Source organism: Homo sapiens, chromosome 9, assembly GCF_000001405.40.
Source record: "Homo sapiens chromosome 9, GRCh38.p14 Primary Assembly".
NCBI lineage: Eukaryota > Metazoa > Chordata > Mammalia > Primates > Hominidae > Homo > Homo sapiens.
This window is the reverse complement of record NC_000009.12, coordinates 22,077,079-22,094,941: the sequence shown is the minus strand read 5'-3', so window position 1 is coordinate 22,094,941 and position 17,863 is coordinate 22,077,079. Positions and strand designations below refer to the sequence as shown.

The 17,863-nt window shown below is 38.3% G+C and overlaps 1 long non-coding RNA gene across 27 annotated transcripts in view; it reads right to left on the bottom strand.

Moving 5' to 3' along the window:
* The window catches only part of CDKN2B-AS1 (CDKN2B and CDKN2A antisense cis and trans regulatory RNA 1), a 133,352-nt gene that overhangs the window by 33,201 nt on the left and 82,288 nt on the right, over positions 1 to 17,863 (bottom strand). For 5 of the 27 annotated variants that reach the window (NR_047539.2, NR_047540.2, NR_047541.2 and 2 more), the window contains one exon: positions 16,508 to 17,263. The exons of 21 other annotated variants lie outside the window; for them this stretch is intronic. This is a non-coding gene — a long non-coding RNA (CDKN2B and CDKN2A antisense cis and trans regulatory RNA 1). Of the gene's footprint in view, positions 1 to 2,472; positions 2,635 to 16,507; positions 17,264 to 17,863 lie in introns of those variants that run through there. One more of the 27 variants, NR_047532.2, reaches the window with a different exon arrangement.

Genomic DNA, 17,863 nt, shown 5'->3' with positions numbered 1-17,863 from the left:
ACCACAAAGATGGGAAAAAACAGAGCAGAAAAACTGGAAACTCTAAAAATCAGAGTGCCTCTCCTCCTCCAAAGGAATGCAGCTCCTCACCAGCAATGGAACAAAGCTGGATGGAGAATGACTTTGACGAGTTGAGAGAAGAAGTCTTCAGATGATCAAACTACTCCAAGCTAAAGGAGGAAGTTCGAACCCATGGCAAAGAAGTTAAAAACCTTGAAAAAAAATTAGACAAATGGCTAACTAGAATAACCAACGCAGAGAAGTCTTTAAAGGACCTGACGGAGCTGAAAACCAAGGCACGAGAACTACATGACGAATGCACAAGCCTCAGTAGCCGATTCGATCAACTGGAAGAAAGGGTATCAGTGATGGAAGATCAAATGAATGAAAAGAAGCAAGAAGTTTAGAGGAAAAAGAATAAAAAGAAACAAACAAAGCCTCCAAGAAATATGGGACTATGTGAAAAGACCAAATCTACTTCTGATTGGAGTACCTGAAAGTGACGGGCAGAATGGAACCAAGTTGGAAAACACTCTGCAGGATATTATCCAGGAGAACTTCCCCAATCTAGCAAGGCAGGCCAACATTCAAATTCAGGAAATACAGAGAATGCCACAAAGATACTCCTCAAGAAGAGCAACTCCAAGACACATAATTGTCGGATTTGCCAAAGTTGAAATGAAGGAAAAAATGTTAAGGGCAGCCAGAGAGAAAGGTCGGGTTACCCACAAAGGGAAGCCCATCAGACTAACAGCTGATCTCTCGGTAGAAACTCTACAAGCCAGAAGAGAGTGGGGGCCAATATTCAACATTCTTAAAGAAAAGAATTTTCAACCCAGAATTTCATATCCAGCCAAACTAAGCTTCATAAGTGAAGGAGAAATAAAATACTTTACAGAAAAGCAAATGCTAAGAGATTTTGTCACCACCAGGCCTGCCCTAAAAGAGTTCCTGAAGAAAGCACTAAACATGGAAAGGAACAACCACTACCAGCCACTGCAAAAACATGCCAAATTGTAAAGACCATCAAGGCTAGGAAGAAACTTCATCAACTAATGAGCAAAATAACCAGCTAACATCATAATGACAGGATCAAATTCACACATAACATATTAACCTTAAATGTAAATGGGCTAAATGCTCCAATTAAAAGACACAGACTGGCAAATTGGATAAAGAGTCAAGACCCATCAGTGTGCTGTATTCAGGAATCCCATCTCATGTGCAGAAACACACATAGGCTCAAAATAAAGGGATGGAGGAAGATCTACCAAGCAAATGGAAAACAAAAAAAGGCAGGGGTTGCAATCCTAGTCTCTGATAAAACAGACTTTAAACCAACAAAATCAAAAGAGACAAAGAAGGCCATTACATAATGGTAAGGGATCAATTCAACAAGAAGAGCTAACTATCCTAAATCTGTATGCACCCAATACAGGAGCACCAAGATTCATAAAGCAAGTCCTTAGAAACCTACAAGGAGACTTAGACTCCCACACAATAATAATAGGACACTTTAACACCCCACTGTCAACATTAGACAGATCAACGAGACAGAAAGTTAACAAGGATATCCAGGAATTGAAGTCAGCTCTGCACCAAGCGGACCTAATAGACATCTACAGAACTCTCCACCCCAAATCAACAGAATATACATTCTTCTCAGAACCACACTGCACTTATTCCAAAATTGACCACATAGTTGGAAGTAAAGCACTCCTCAGCAAATGTAAAAGAACAGAAATTATAACAAACTGTCTCTCAGACCACAGTGCAAACTAGAACTCAAGATTAAGAAACTCACTCAAAACCGCTCACCTACATGGAAACTGAACTACCCACTCCTGAATGACTACTGGGTACATAACAAAATGAAGGCAGAAATAAAGATGTTCTTTGAAACCAAAGACAACAAAGACACAACATACCAGAATCTCTGGGACACATTCAAAGCAGTGTGTAGAGGGAAATTTATAGCACTAAATGCCCACAAGAGAAAGGAGCAAAGATCTAAAATTGACACCCTAACATCACAATTAAAAGAACTATAGAAGCAAGAGCAAACAGATTCAAAAGCTAGCAGAAGGCAAGAAACAACTAAGATCAGAGCAGAACTGAAGGAAATAGAGACACAAAAAACCCTCCAAAAAAATCAATGAATCCAGGAGCTGGTTTTTTGAAAAGATCAACAAAATTGATAGACCACTAGCAAGATTAATAAAGAAGAAAAGAGAGAAGAATCAAATAGACACAATAAAAAATTAAAAGGGGATATCACCACCAATCCCACAGAAATACAAACTACCATCAGAGAATACTATAAACACCTCTATGCAAATAAACTAGAAAATCTAGAAGAAATGGATAAATTCCTCGACACATACATCCTCTCAAGACTAAACCATGAAGAAGTTGAATCTCTGAATAAAGCAATAACAGGCTCTAAAATTGAGGCAATAATTAATAGCTTACCAACCAAAAAAAGTCCAGGACCAGATGGATTCACAGCCGAATTCTACCAGAGGTACAAAGAGGAGCTGGTACCATTCCTTCTGAAACTATTCCATTCAATAGAAAAAGAGGGAATTCTCCCCAACTCATTTTATGAGGCCAGAATCATCCTGATACCAAAGCCTGGCAGAGACACAACAAAAAAAAGAGAATTTTAGACCAATATCCCTGACGAACATCGATGCAAAAATCTTCAATAAAATACTGGCAAACTGAATCCAGTAGCACACCAAAAGGCTTATCCACCATGATCAAGTGGGCTTCATCCCTGGGATGCAAGGCTTGTTCAACATACGCAAATCAATAAACATAATCCAGCATATAAACAGAACCAACGACAAAAACCATATGATAATCTCAACGGATGCAGAAAAGGCCTTTGACAAAATTCAACAACCTTCATGCTAAAAACTCTCAATAAATTAGGTATTGATGGGATGTATCTCAAAATAATAAGAGCTATCTATAACAAAACCACAGCCAATATCATACTGAATGGGCAAAACCTGGAAGCATTCCCTTTGAAAACTGGCACAAGACAGGGATGCCCTCTCTCACCACTCCTATTCAACATAGTGTTGGAAGTTCTGGCCACGGCAATCAGGCAGGAGAAGGAAATAAATAGTATTCAATTAGGAAAAGAGGAAGTCAAATTGTCCCTGTTTGCAGATGACATGATTGTATATCTAGAAAACCCCATCGTCTCAGCCAAAATCTCCTCAAGCTGATAAGCAACTTCAGCAAAGTCTCAGGATAAAAAATCAATGTGCGAAAATCACAAGCATTCTTATACACCAATAACAGACAGAGAGCCAAATCATGAGTGAACTCCCATTCACAATTCCTTCAAAGAGAATAAAATACCTAGGAATCCAACTTGCAAGGGATGTGAAGGACCTCTTCAAGGAGAACTACAAACCACTGCTCAATGAAATAAAAGAGGATACAAACAAATGGAAGAACATTCCATGCTCATGGGTAGGAAGAATCAATAACATGAAAATGGCCATACTGCCCAAAGTAATTTATAGATTCAATGCAATCCCCATCAAGCTACCAATGACTTTCTTCACAGAACTGGAAAAAACTACTTTAAAGTTCATATGGAACCAAAAAAGAGCCTGCATTGCCAAGTCAATCCTAAGCCAAAAGAACAAAGCTGGAGGCATCACGCTACCTGACTTCAAACTATACTACAAGACTACAGTAACCAAAACAGCATGGTACTGGTACCAAAACAGAGATATAGACCAATGGAACAGAACAAAGCGCTCAGAAATAATGCCACATATCTACAACAATCTGATCTTTGACAAACCTGATAAAAACAAGCAATGGGGAAAGGATTCCCTATTTAATAGATGGTGCTGGGAAAACTGGCTAGCCATATGTAGAAAGCTGAAACTGGATCCTTTCCTTATACCTTATACAAAAATTAGTTCAAGATGGATTAAAGACTTAAATGTTAGACCTAAAACCATAAAAACCCTAGAAGAAAACCTAGGCAATACCATTCAGGACATAGGCATGGGCAAGGACTTCATGTCTAAAACACCAAAAGCAATGGCAACAAAAGCCAAAATTGACAAATGGGATCTAATTAAACTAAAGAACTTCTGCACAGCAAAAGAAACTACCATCAGAGTGAACAGCCAACCTACAGAATGGGAGAAAATATTTGCAATCTACTCATCCAACAAAGGGCTAATATCCAGAATCTACAATGAACTCAAACAAATTTACAAGAAAAAAAAACAGCCCCATCAAAAAGTGGGTGAAGGATATGAACAGACACTTCTCAAAAGAAGACATTTATGCAGCCAAAAGACACATGAAAAATTGCTCATCATCACTGGGCATCAGAGAAATGCAAATCAAAACCACAATGAGATACCATCTGACACCAGTCAGAATGGCGATCATTAAAAAGTCAAGAAACAACAGGTGCTGGAGAGGATGTGGAGAAATAGGAACACTTTTACACTGCTGGTGGGACTGTAAACTAGTTCAACCGTTGTGGAAGTCAGTGTGTCGATTCCTCAGGGATCTAGAACTAGAAATACCATTTGACCCAGCCATCCCATTACTGGGTCTATACCCAAAGGATTATAAATCATGCTGCTATAAAGACACATGCACACGTATGTTTATTGTGGCACTATTGACAATAGCAAAGACTTGGAACCAACCCAAATGTCCAACAATGATAGAGTGGATTAAGAAAATGTGGCACATATACACCATGGAATACTATGCAGCCATAAAAAAGGATGAGTTCATGTCCTTTGTGGGGACATGGATGAAGCTGGAAACCATCATTCTCAGCAAATTATCACAAGGACAAAAAACCAAACACTGCATGTTCTCACTCATAGGTGGGAATTGAACAATGAGAACAAATGGACACAGGAAGGGGAACATCACACACCGGGGCCTGTTGTGGGGTGGGGGGAGGGGGGAGGGATAGCATTAGGAGATATACCTAATATTAAATGACGAGTTACTGGGTGCAGCACACCAACATGGCACATGTATACATAGGTAACAAACCTGCACGTTGTGCACATGTACCCTAAAACGTAAAGTATAATTAAAAAAAAGAATTTAGTAATTTATAAATGTTTGAAATTAGTCATTGGCTCAATCTAATACCAAATTAAAAAAAAAAGTAAGACGTCTGCTAGGGGGCAAAGTAGCTCATGCCTATAACTCCAGCACTTTGGGAGGCTGAGGTAGGAGGATCACTTGAGCCCAGGAGTTCAAGACCAGCCTCAGCAACATGGAGAAAACTTGTCCCTACAAAATAAGGGGAAAAAAAAAGAAAAGAGAGATATTAGCCAGGCATGGTGGCATGTGCCTATAGTCCCAGTTACTTGGGAGGCAGAGGTGGGAAGATCACTTGAATCTGGGTAGATCAAGGCTGCAGTGAGCTGTGATTGAGCCACTCCGGTCCAGCCTGGGTGACAGAGTGAGACCCTTTTAAAAAAAAAAGTTTAGTAAGTTTTTGTGGTTCTTAATATAAAGCAAGTAACTTCACTTGAAGATAATGAACATCTTACCTATGAAATTTTTCTAATTCTTTTAACATTTGTTATGTAAATAATTGTATCAGATAAATATCATCAATTCAAGATTTTGTCTTCAACATTATTTTGATCAAGTATCCACTGAAATTTGCTCCAAAGACTATTCTGGGTCTTATTACATAGTTAATGTGTTAGTCCTACAGTTGAATTTTTAACTATTATCTTTTGAAATTAGAGATTGAAGTGATCTACCTAATCTTGTTGCTCATCCTGTGCCTTTTAAAGGAAAAATTATTTGGCTAGAAAAATGTCAGGGGGTGTTTTTAAAACTCATGGACCCTCATAAATTAGAATCGTGATATTTTTGCACAGTTGACAATGTAAAAAACAAATGCCAAGTCTTTGGGTTTCTCTTTGGCTGGACAAGCAGGTGTGTGGTATGCTGCTGATGCTGATCCATCCAGACACTCAAGTTCAGACAAAGGCAATCCAAAGTTCCCAGTCACTTCTGTTTATTTTAGCAAAGGGACTCATGTGAACTCCACCCAGGCCTGGGAGTCTGCTTACCCAGGAATAATTTTTACTAGGTACATACAGTGGTGTTTCAAAGTTCATAAAGATGACTTTATAGGGTTGGGTGATTTTCTTTTATAGAGCCTGATCTCATTTCTTGAAGCCTCCTGGAAGGCAATATCACTGTAACTTATGTCTATTTAAAGTAGCTATTGAGAGGACAGTAATTCTCCACTTTGGTGTATTTAAATTAACATACCACTCTTACTAATTGATAGAAATATTCAAAACCATGTTTTGCACTTAACCGCAGTTTGGAGTGAACTGAATCACACGGTAACTTGTAAGAGAACACATGTAAAATATACAGAATGCTGGTTCTTAGCCTAGGGCCTGTGAACCTACTGACCTTCTGTGGCAATTCTGTGTGTGTGTGTGTGTGTGTGTGTGCTTGCACATTTGTGTATGTGTGCAATTGTGCATTCTCCTGAGTAGAAGAACCATGGTTTTCCAGAAATTCTCAATGGGGCACATGATTCCAAAAAGGTAAATACCACTGACATGGAGAGAATAATAAATTATTACTTGTCCTTGCTTCAATATCAAGTATAATAAAACATTGCAACATTCGCTTCTTACGACCTTTCATAATCCCAGCAATCGAAGGCTGATTGCTCTTTAAGCCCTTCTCTTCTCCTCAGGGTTTCCTGGAGCTTCACTCCAGTATGTATTGTTTGGGATGCCAGGCCTAAGTCACCTCCAAGGGGAAACAGAGCACACCAGATGATTTTAGAAGTCACTGCATGACATTTAGATAAATTCATATATTAACAGATATCCTCCTTTCTTTTAGTTCTTCTGATTGTGGCAAGGAAATAGTCTCAGTCAGTGGAAGGATTATTTTACCACTTCTATAACACTCCCTAGTCTCTCCTTTCAACAGAGACAGCAAGCCACAAGCTCAGAGTCTTCATAGGAAACTATATCTGGCAAATATTTAATAACATTATTTCACTCATGGCATTTCTTTTTATGACAATCTTCTATTTAAGGCAAATGATATCGGTTTTCAATTTATAGTTAGTGAAAAAGTTTCTCTTCAAAATAAATGGATATAATTTTTTAAAGGAGAGACAACTTAAGGAAAAATATTTCTATTAGTGCAGATGATACAAGGATATGACAAAATCAAAGAAGTGGTATGCAAATGACAGAAATTAGGAAAACATCAGACTAAACAATTGCTAATCAAGTCATGCTTTTATTTTCAAAAGATTGACAGTCTATTCAATTTATTTAGGACAAATATTATAATCAGCAATAGAAATTTCCACTAGGCATTTCTGAAAAATAAGCATAAACTGTGAGAGATGCATTTAGCATTGATTAGTTAGGATGCTTTCAGGTACTTGTAATAAAAAACACAACTAAAAGCATCTTTAAAAAACTAAGGATTATTTCCTGATGGTTCCAGGGTAGATTCAGTCAATGGTTCAATGTCATCAGGGATCCAGTTTCTTGCTATACTGTCCTCTGCCACCGGTAGCATGTAATTGTATCCTCAGACTTGTCCCCTCATGGTCTGAAGATGGCTTCCATAGCACCAACTCTTCACCCAACAGTGACCAGAGTCAAGAAAGTATAAACCACAACTTTTTGGTCCCCTTCAAGGGGAAAGAAAACTTACCTTAAAGTTTCCCATATTTGCCCTCCCATTTCATAAGCAAAGTTGCACCTCTTCTCCATATCTAAATCAAACATTTCCAAGAAAAAGGGGAGTTACCACCATGGCCTTAGGCTACTCCTGATTCACTACAGGGGCTAAGGAGGGGCTAAAGAAGATCATGTGACTAGTAACTGACCAATAATGGGGTTCTCTTGGCAAGGAAGTATGAAGAAAACTTCCCTGCGTAGGCAATTCACATGGCTTGCCATAGTGTGCATTAACATAGGTTGTAACAATTCTGGAGGGGCACAGAGAGGCTGATAATTAATGTTGGAAAAAATATTATTCAGAATCACAAATAAGTAATACAAATCTGGGCCATATGGATAAAATACACACAGTAGATACAGTTTGGAAACTAATCGTTTATTAAGATTCCAGATAAAATAAGATCTCAAAATAAATAAATGGATAGATAAATAAATAATCTCTGGGGTTCAAAAAATATTGATTGGCTGGTAATCATTCTCCCCTATCCCAGCTGCCTCAGACCCTGTGAGCAGGAGAAAGATAAGATAGGGCAAACCAGGGCAATAAAAATGTGGGTTACTGTTATTGTTTTTAAGAATTTCATATTTTCTAAAAGCTTCAGAGAAGTCATGGGAAAAAAAGAATATTATTGAACTCTAGTAGACATTTTCACTTTTTAACTTTCAACTTACATGTGAGATAAGTGAGGGGCATCTTCATCTCACGTGTGCTTGGGACTTGTAAATGTTTTAATCTGGCCCTGACGGGTAAATTTCTCTCCAAAAAAAACTGAGGTTAGATATAAACTTCCAACTCACCTTTCTCAAGTTACTTGTGTTTTAAATACTTTTAATTATGCTACTTTTTAAGCATAATTCTTGGCTTTATTCTCTACTCCAAAAGGAGCAGAATAAAATAAATGGCTGAGTAGGATCTGAACTGAGATATGAGAAGAGAGGAAGGGCCATTAAACAAACACTGATCAAGCTCCTTGGGGCTATCAAGTTCTTTGTATCTATTCTGATTTTCATCTCAATAATAACTCTACCACATTGAGATTTTTATTCCAATTTTAAATATGTTGAATTAAGGGATAGAGTAGGAGAGTGATTTGATAAAGTTTATAAATCTAGTAATAGCAGAATGAAGATTTAAATTCTGGAAGTTTGAATCTTCTGACCCCCAAGGTTCATCTTCTTTCTGTTGAACTATCCTGCCTCTCGAGGGTTTGTGTTGCCAAATACTTAAGGACAAAATCAAGAGATTGTGAAATTGAATCAAAGAAATGGGCTACGAGATGCAAAGAAATAGAAAAACAAGTCAAAACCTAATCCAGGCAACAAATAGACATTTGGCACAGGAGACCTGGACACTTGTCTAGACATGGTCAGAGAAAGGAGGGAGGTCAAGGATCAGTAGTGACTCCAAGATACCCTGAGATATAAAGAGAGGGACTTTTTTTTTTTTTTTTTTTTGAGACGGAGTCTCGCTCTGTTGCCCTCGCTGGAGTGCAGTGGCACGATCTCGGCTCACTGCAAGCTCCTCCTCCAGGGTTCACGCCATTCTCCTGCCTCAGCTTCCCGAGTACCTGGGACTACAGGGGCCCGCCACCACACCTGGCTAATTTTTTGTATTTTTTAGTAGAGACGGGGTTTCACCGTGTTAGCCAGGGTGGTCTTGATCTCCTGACCTCGTGATCCGCCCGCCTCAGCCTCCCAAAGTGCTGGGAATTACAGGCGTGAGCCACCGCGCCCGGCCAGAGAGGGAACTTTTATATGTTCCTTGGTGTGGGGCCAGAACAAGATGTAGGTGTGGCTAGGTCCTTGGGATAAACAGGCACACCTGAGGAATAAGGAATGCACTTGGCAGGGTGGGGTTGGGATAAGCATACCTTGAGGGTAAGCTTGCTTTTTCCCAGTTAGGTGAGATTTCCTTTACCTCATACAAATTAATCTGTGGGCAAACTAGCTACCTAACTCTTAATTAACTGATAAACTTTTTTCTCCTTGATCATAACCCAAGTATTGGAAATGTATAAAGAAGTTCTTTATAGATAGAAGTTCTTTTTGTCATGCATTTTAGTAACCACAGTTTATTGGGGATTATCAAAGCTATGAGAATGTTACCATATTTGAGTTCTCTGTGGAAAAATGTTCACTCTACTAACATTTCTCCTGTTCTCATACCAAAACACTGTGCTGGGGTTGCCTGAGTTGTCGTCTGGGTGTTCGTGTTATCTTAGATATCTGTCACTTATGGAGATTAAGTATCATATTACAGCTGCTGGCTCAGATGATTCCACAATTTCAGCTGTATGACTCAGCTTGTGGAAAAGAATGCAATTTCTTTAGTGTATCAGTTTTAACCAGCCAGTCTTCATAATGAATGCCCTGTGCATTTTTCACAGCCCTACTCATTCTTACAGTGCTACCAAGAAGACATGGCAAATGTCTGTATTTACCTAAACCTAAAGATAAACAATGTTACTGCTGAGACATATTTTCAATCTGGGATTACCAAGAACCCATTTTAGTTTCAACCCAAAGTTGGATATGCCCCACAAAACAATTTGGGAGGTCAAATCATGCAACAGAACTCCCAGAGACAAAAACCCATATCACACCCCTGCCCACCCCCTTTCTCTGAGAGTAAAAAAAATGTAGCCTACCCACATGCTGTTAGACAAAGGCTGAAAGGTGCTTTGATCAGGCCAATACTCTGCTCCCTGGGAAGTACACAAACTCTTCTATTAAATATAATTTACTACATGGCCAATTTCTCAAGAGAAATTCAACTGAGTTTTAAATAAAGTTTTCTGTATTTAAACATAATATAAAATTAACCTGCAAAATTTAATAGTGGTAGATTATATTGCTTCTTTTACGAAGGTAATATAGAAGTTGTCATGCCTGACCTAGGAACAGCCCTTTTGTGAAATAGCCCTAAAGCTCTAAGCCTAGAGTCAGAAAGAGACTTGGGCTCAAATTCTGGCTCAATTATTTGACTATATTACCTTGGGTGTGTTACATAACCTGCCTAAATCTCTTCATCTAAAACACAGGAAAAATAAATTTTACTTTAACAATTGTTGGTGTGAATCCAATGAAATGGTGCAAGTAACTACTTACAACAATGCATGAATCTTAAGGAACTGTTAAGAAAGGTAATGTAAATTTTAAAAGCAAAAGTTTCAATCAATGGTCAGAAAGAGATTTAAGATCACAAAGATGTAAAGTGATTAATTATTGAGGGAAAACTGAAGTTTTGAGTATTTTGAAAATTCCATGTAATATATAGCGCCATCACCACCCAAACACCAGTGTCCTCCATATCTAAATCTACAGCCTTGACCTCTGTTCTAAGCGTTAGACTCTAATATCCAACTAAATCCACAGGACCAGTCCATCTCAACACATCCAAAACTGAACTCAGCATCTTACCTACCCTCCAAAAACTTCACTGAGTCACAAAATTCAGAAACCTGGATGCCACCCTAAAATCTTTTCTTTCTCTCATTCTCCACCCCAAACATCTAAATATAGGCTGATCGAGCTGTGGTTCTTGAACCTGGCAGAGCTTCAGCATCACCTAGGGTGCTTTATAAGAATACCAAGTTGTATTCCAGAGATTCTGATTCAGAATATTCAAGGTATGCCATGGGAATCTTCATTCAAAAATAAAAACAAAACCTCCATGAGAACTGGCTACTCATTGAGATTTGGGAGCCACTGTTGTAGTATACCTTCTTACCATATCTCATATCTGTACCTTCCTCTCTGTCCCAGCGGTAGCATTCTTACCTCTGACCCTCCTGTCTCTCTTGAATGAAATCATTCCATAAGTGGGCACTCTGCATCCCCTGCACTCCATCCCATTAATTCATCCTTCCCAGTGCTTCCAGATCCATTTATCTAAACCCAGCCTTCAGAGAAAAATACATCTAAATTCAAATCCCTGCTTTGCTAATTACCAGGTCTATAGCCTTGAGCAAGTTAGTTCATCTCTGTATGATGCAATTTTCTCATGAGAAAAATGGGAATCTATTAAATGTGATTTAGATGGGATAACATACGTATAGTTCTTAGTACAGGGCATGGCATATAACAAGCTATTAGTGTTATTATCATTATTGTTTTTGTTATTATGACACAAATCTAATCATGTAATTCATGTTACATGTCCTCTTCCTGCTACCAGCCTTCTTTTCTGTGACAGAACCCCAGGATTAGGCCTTCTTGATTCCAATTGGCTTTCTCAAGCCTGAACCTCTAATGATCACTATCATGAGCCATCTTCTAATATTGCACCTGTCTTTCCAGATTTCTTTCCGTGGCTTACACCTGATTATATGGCTTAGTCAAATGGAAATAGTCTAATTTGGTTTATCCCCTGCCCATGTCTGACTTACCTAACTACCAGCAAGCTAGAGTCGGGTATCCTCACTCTACATGAAGTTGGTAAACACAATCCTCTACATGTTTTCTATAGTTCCCAATTTACTACAGGTATAAAATATACATAATTATATGCTCCTCCTTAAAAATAAAGTTCTGACTATTTCCTAGCCAGTACTTAAAGCTTAAGCTCCGATAGCAATAAAGTACTGGCTACGAATTAGTCAGAACATCAAAATCATGATACGTTTATCTATTCCTTCATTCAACAAATTTTGGAGTGCAGTGGGATTAAGATATAATGGACTCAGTTCCAAGTCTGGCTCTGTAGCTTTCCACATGTGTGATCTTGAGCAAGTTACCTAATGTCACTGGGCCTCTATATCATGATCAACAAAAGGAGGAAATAACATTTTCTGATGAGATTGATGTGAATAGTGAGCCACTAGCACACTTTATGCCTTGTACAAGAAATCAAAACACAGTTATGCTGCTACTGTTATATAAAGAGCAATAATGAGGGTGATGACAATGTCATAACATATCACTGCTTTCAAGACCCGCTATAACTAGCAGACCAGCAGAAAGAGAAAAGTACAACCAGACCAACAGGCCCAAAATTATAAAAATCAACTCTGCAGTAAGACTGGCCTGTAAGGGAAGTGATTAATCTTGTGAATTAAAATGTTAGGGAAAACAAGTGAACTGGGGACCAGTTTAAAGAGATGTCATTTTCTTAAGTATAGGTAGGTCTGGAGGATGAGACCAACAAGAGGTCAATACCTTTATCAGGGAGTAAAACTTGGGTTTCAGAAAGGTGCATGGTGGTTGAAGCAAGACCCCAGCCACAGGCTGGGGGTATATGAAGGAAAGAGGAGACAGAGTAAAAAAAACTCCTGGGAAAATACATTTGTAGAACACAACAACCCCAAAAATGATGATGATAGCCAGCTTTCACTGAGTGTCCATTAAGGATTGGGTGCCATGTTCTTCCTTTCTACATTTTCCCTATTTTTCATAACACTGTAAAAGATTGGGTGCCAGATGGGGAAACTGAGTCAGAGGGAAAAGTGTCAGAGATTTTTTCAAGATTACACAACTAATAGACAAGCTTCCTAGGCTGGAGTCTAATCATGAAAGCACTTGAAGGGGGAGTTTCAGCTCACTGATCATGGGCCTGTCCCAGGGGCTGTGTTGAATTAATTTGCATGCTGTGCTCAGACCCACAACTTGTTCCCATTTCTGTAATCCCTAAAATCTCTTTTCCTGGGATCAGGCCAGGCAGGGCCAAGTCTCTGGAGTAGAGAAGAACTTAGGTGACTCAAGTGTCAACTTTGGGTTGGTAATACCTAGCCTAAACAACTCTATATTTCCAAATCAGACAAGAGTTCACTCATAAATCTCCTACACTCTGTCCATCACTTCAAAGTAAATAACCTCCCCAAGAATCGATTCTAGAGAGTTAATTCAAAATACTCAAGACACATTGCCTCATTAGTTATAATGTAAAAAAAAAAAAAAAAAAAGCTAAAGAACAAAATATCTGATAACATGGGAATGAATAAGTAACTTGGGGCACAACCCCATAAAAACAGTCATTAAAAACTTGTATGACAAAATGTACATGACAACTTCAAAACAACATCAAATAGACTTATGATATAAGCTACAGTTTTAAAAGGAGTCAAAATTATATTGCCATATGGACCTAATTGTATTTTTATTTAAAGCATAGAACAGAACTAAAAGAAAAAAATGTACTGCAGTATGAACAAGGGTTGACTCTAGGTAGTCGGAGTGGAGATTAAACTCTTTATTTTTCTACTAGCTGACATTTTATGATATTTTTAAGAAGCATAGGCTAATTCTCATGCAAAAAAACACAAAATATTTCAAATAAAAAGAACTAGCTTCCTAAAAAGTCATAGTACTTTTGGAATAGTTTCTGAGTCTGGCTCAGCCCACCCTCCTATTTTCTTTGTCATGTAGCTATAATTCCATGACCCAGCAGTCTGGTGGCCTGTGGTCATCAGAACTATCAAGTAATTTCCCTTAAGTTTTAAAGGTTTTGCCATTTTCTCCACTACCTTACAAAAAGCCTTCAACAGGTTTTTGGCTCTGCAAACTGTCAGAAATACAGTCTTCCTTCCAACAGCCCATTTCCATAGAGTGATGTGGTAAAACACAGGACCACACAGGCAAAGCCTGGTTTTAATTGTTAAACATTTCCCATTGTGTTTGATTTTCTTCTCCCTGATGGGCTTCACTAGAACTCATCTGTAAAGCTCTCCTTAAAGACTCTCAACCCAAATAGGGCTGCCCCCGCTGCCCCTCCACAGTGTATTGTGAACAGAAGTAGCTAGGTCACAAGCTCACATCAGCCAATGATAGCTCAGAATCTTTAGCTCAGAAGGAAACGATGCCAGCTTGATCATAGTGAACACGGAAAATATCAAAGGACCCTTGTTACTCTCTTCTAGTGGTCGGTACATTTCTAAGTTTCTGTTCCAAAATACTTTGGCAGCCATTTTACTCCAGGGAGCCAGGGAGGGGAAAGTCTGTTCTTGCAACATTACCAAACAGCTTGGGGAAAACCCAATCCTTTCACACATAAACAGGGCTGGCTACATCTGACTGCACAGAGCCAGCCAAACTGGGATTCCTTAACAGCTCACGCCTTTGGTGATTATTCATTCAGTACCATCTGAGATTTAGTCAAGAGCACAAGACACCCCAAAAGGCTTCATTGAGACTGGTGTGGGACACACCTGGTTTTTCTCACCTCCTGTCTGGCCTCCTTTGATGAACAGGCAGATTCTGTAAAATTCGTTTTCATAAGGCATTGCTGCTCTGTATGACTCTACCGAAACCACACCAAAGGCATGGGGGAAGAGATATCTGGATTACTAGAAAGACACTTTGACAAACAGTAGGTTTTCAACGAAGTGTGACAAATGCAATGTGAGGCTAGATGAACACAAGAAGATTAAGAAGAAAACAAGCTATGCCGGTGGAGAAGGGACATGGGCATCTGAGGTGAATGTCGATCAAGGATGGTGAAGGAATCAAGAGAAGAGTAAGAAAATCTGGAGTAAAGTCCTATTCTGAAAAAAAGGAAACACTCGCTTTTTACCTCACTTTTGGTCTGTATCTCAGAGTGCCAACATTATTGAGGAGCCCCAAACATTCCGATAAGCCTCAATTCACTTTTCCACAAGTTGTTCCCTCACCCAGGACAGGACCCAGCACACCCTTCAGCTTTTCTTTTTTTTCTTTCCCTTTTTTTTTTTTTTTTAGATGGTGTTTTGCTCTGTCACACTCTGTCTTGCTCTGTCACCCAAGCTGGAGTACAGAGGCACAGTCTCGGCTTACTGTAACCTCCACTTCCTGCATTCAAGCAAGTCTCCTGCCTCAGCCTCCCGAGTAGCCGGAACTACAGGCACGTGCCACCACGCCCAACTAATTTTTGTATTTATTTTTAGTAGAGATGGGTTTTCACCATGTTGGCCAGGCTGGTCTCGAACTCCTGACCTCAGGTGATCCTCCCGCCTCGGCTTCCCAAAGTGCTGGGATTACAGGCGTGAGCCACTGCACCCGGCCACTTTTCAGCCTTTCTATCCTTTCCAGCCTCCAATGAAATCAAATGATCTCCAATATTTATGTTTTTCATTGGTTTCTTTTTAATTGTGATAAACTGAATTAGAACTGAGGAAAATAGAAATGAAATATAAGGCCAACTAGAAAAATATCTTCCAGATATTGACAACTGCTTTGGGGCGACTTGTCCCCATCTCTCTGATAAGGCTTCCATAATGGTGACTTTTTCAGTTCTCTGTGGGATCCAAACAAACTCAGTAAAAGTGAGTGCCGTTTAGTAATGCTCCTCATTTTACCAGACAATGGGGAAACCCAAAAGAAGATCATACATGGCTCCTCTCTTAAGCAAATAAGAGTTTCAAAACTCTGCATACCCAAACCTCAGCTAAGATTATAGAAGATCTCAGAGCTGATTTACAGAGTGAGAAGATGTATATTTTACTCCTAATGAAGAAGATTTTGAAGGGAAATCAGTTATTTTAAAAACCTTTCAGACACTCTAAGAATTTGTTGCTCAAAACATAATCCATAGAAACTTACTAGAAATGTAAAATCTTGGACCCTACTCCAGACCTGCTGAATCAGAATTTAGCATTTTAACAAGATCTCCTGCAGATCTGTTGTTTGTTTGCTAAAGCTTGAGACACACTTCCCTAAGATTTCTCAAGCCTTTTTATTCCTCTTGTTCAAATTGAATGCAACACTGCTTAAAATGTTGGAAGAAGTAAGTAAAGGCCTAACTGCCTCAAATAGTATAGACACAGAATCAATGGCATTTGTTATTTTTATTTTTTTGGTCAAAAACAAGTGAGAAACATTTCAGAAAGCGCAACAAAACTAGTCAAATAAGCACAGGAAGAGGGAAAATGGGGGTTTTAGCTACTGATAAGTTTGATACGAGTCAAGTAACAGTGGTTACCAAAATCTGAAAAAAAAAAATTGAAAGCAAGCAAATACAAAACTAGCAACTGCATTAATAGAAGGATAGCATCTAGTCTAGATCAAAGAAGATGACTGCCCTATTCTATCTTATGCTAGTCAAGTCATATCGTAAGTACAATCAGTTCAAGACACTATAAGAAATATAGACACAAACAAAACACATTCAATAGAAAGGGACCAGGATAGTAAAGTTGAAGTCATGTTTGAGGGAGAAAAAAAGTTTCAGGGCTTGGAGATAGTAAAACAAAATATTTGGTGAAAAAAAACTTAAAAATATGAAGCAGTGTCATGTGGGGAAAAATTATGGTCTATGGTAAGCATTTGAGAATCATTGGTCAAGATATCTGAGGACCATTCAAGCCACAGAGATCTATTGTTTATAGATTTTATTGAACTTTCAATACATCATCTGTAAAACCCAACAAGATAGAGAAGCAGGTATCATTCTCCTCAAATTACAGTAGAGACAAATATAATACAGCTAATCAGTGATGGATCCTGGTATAGAATGAAGCTATCTGTGTTTTTGTCCAATGTCCTTTTATCACCCAGCTTCGTAGGAAATTCCTAGCTCCGTAATCATCCTGGAAGAAAAGGAGCTAAATGTGACCAAGAAAAATTATTTTGATTTTTTTTCTTCTTTCCTGTGATCCAAAAGCGTTGTCACTAGCCTCAGGTGACTATTCTGCTCCTGAACCATGGCTAATGGAACCAAAGAGCTGAAATTTTATTTTCATTTACCCTAATTGTTTATATTAAACTGATAAACTGATATTTAATTCAGTTATTGGAAAACTTTAAGTATGTTGAGAGCAACTTGGATACATGTATCTACTTTTTCAACTGCAAATGTTATAAAATCTGAATATTATTTCCATTGGCAATTTAATGTCCTAAATGGCATGTACTATAACATATACCCCAAATTTTAAATATTTACATGAAAAAAGTGCAAAACATTTCAATATTTTTACATTCATTGTATGTTAAAATACTTTAAATATATTGAGTTAAATGAAGTATATTATTTAAATTATATTAAGTAAAATATGCCAGATACAAAAAGAAAACTATTGCATTATTTTACATATATGTAGAATTTTTTTAAAAGTCAAATATACAGAAATAGAGAATAAAATAGTGATTACCAGAGGTAGGGTGGGTGGAGGAAATGGGTAGATGTA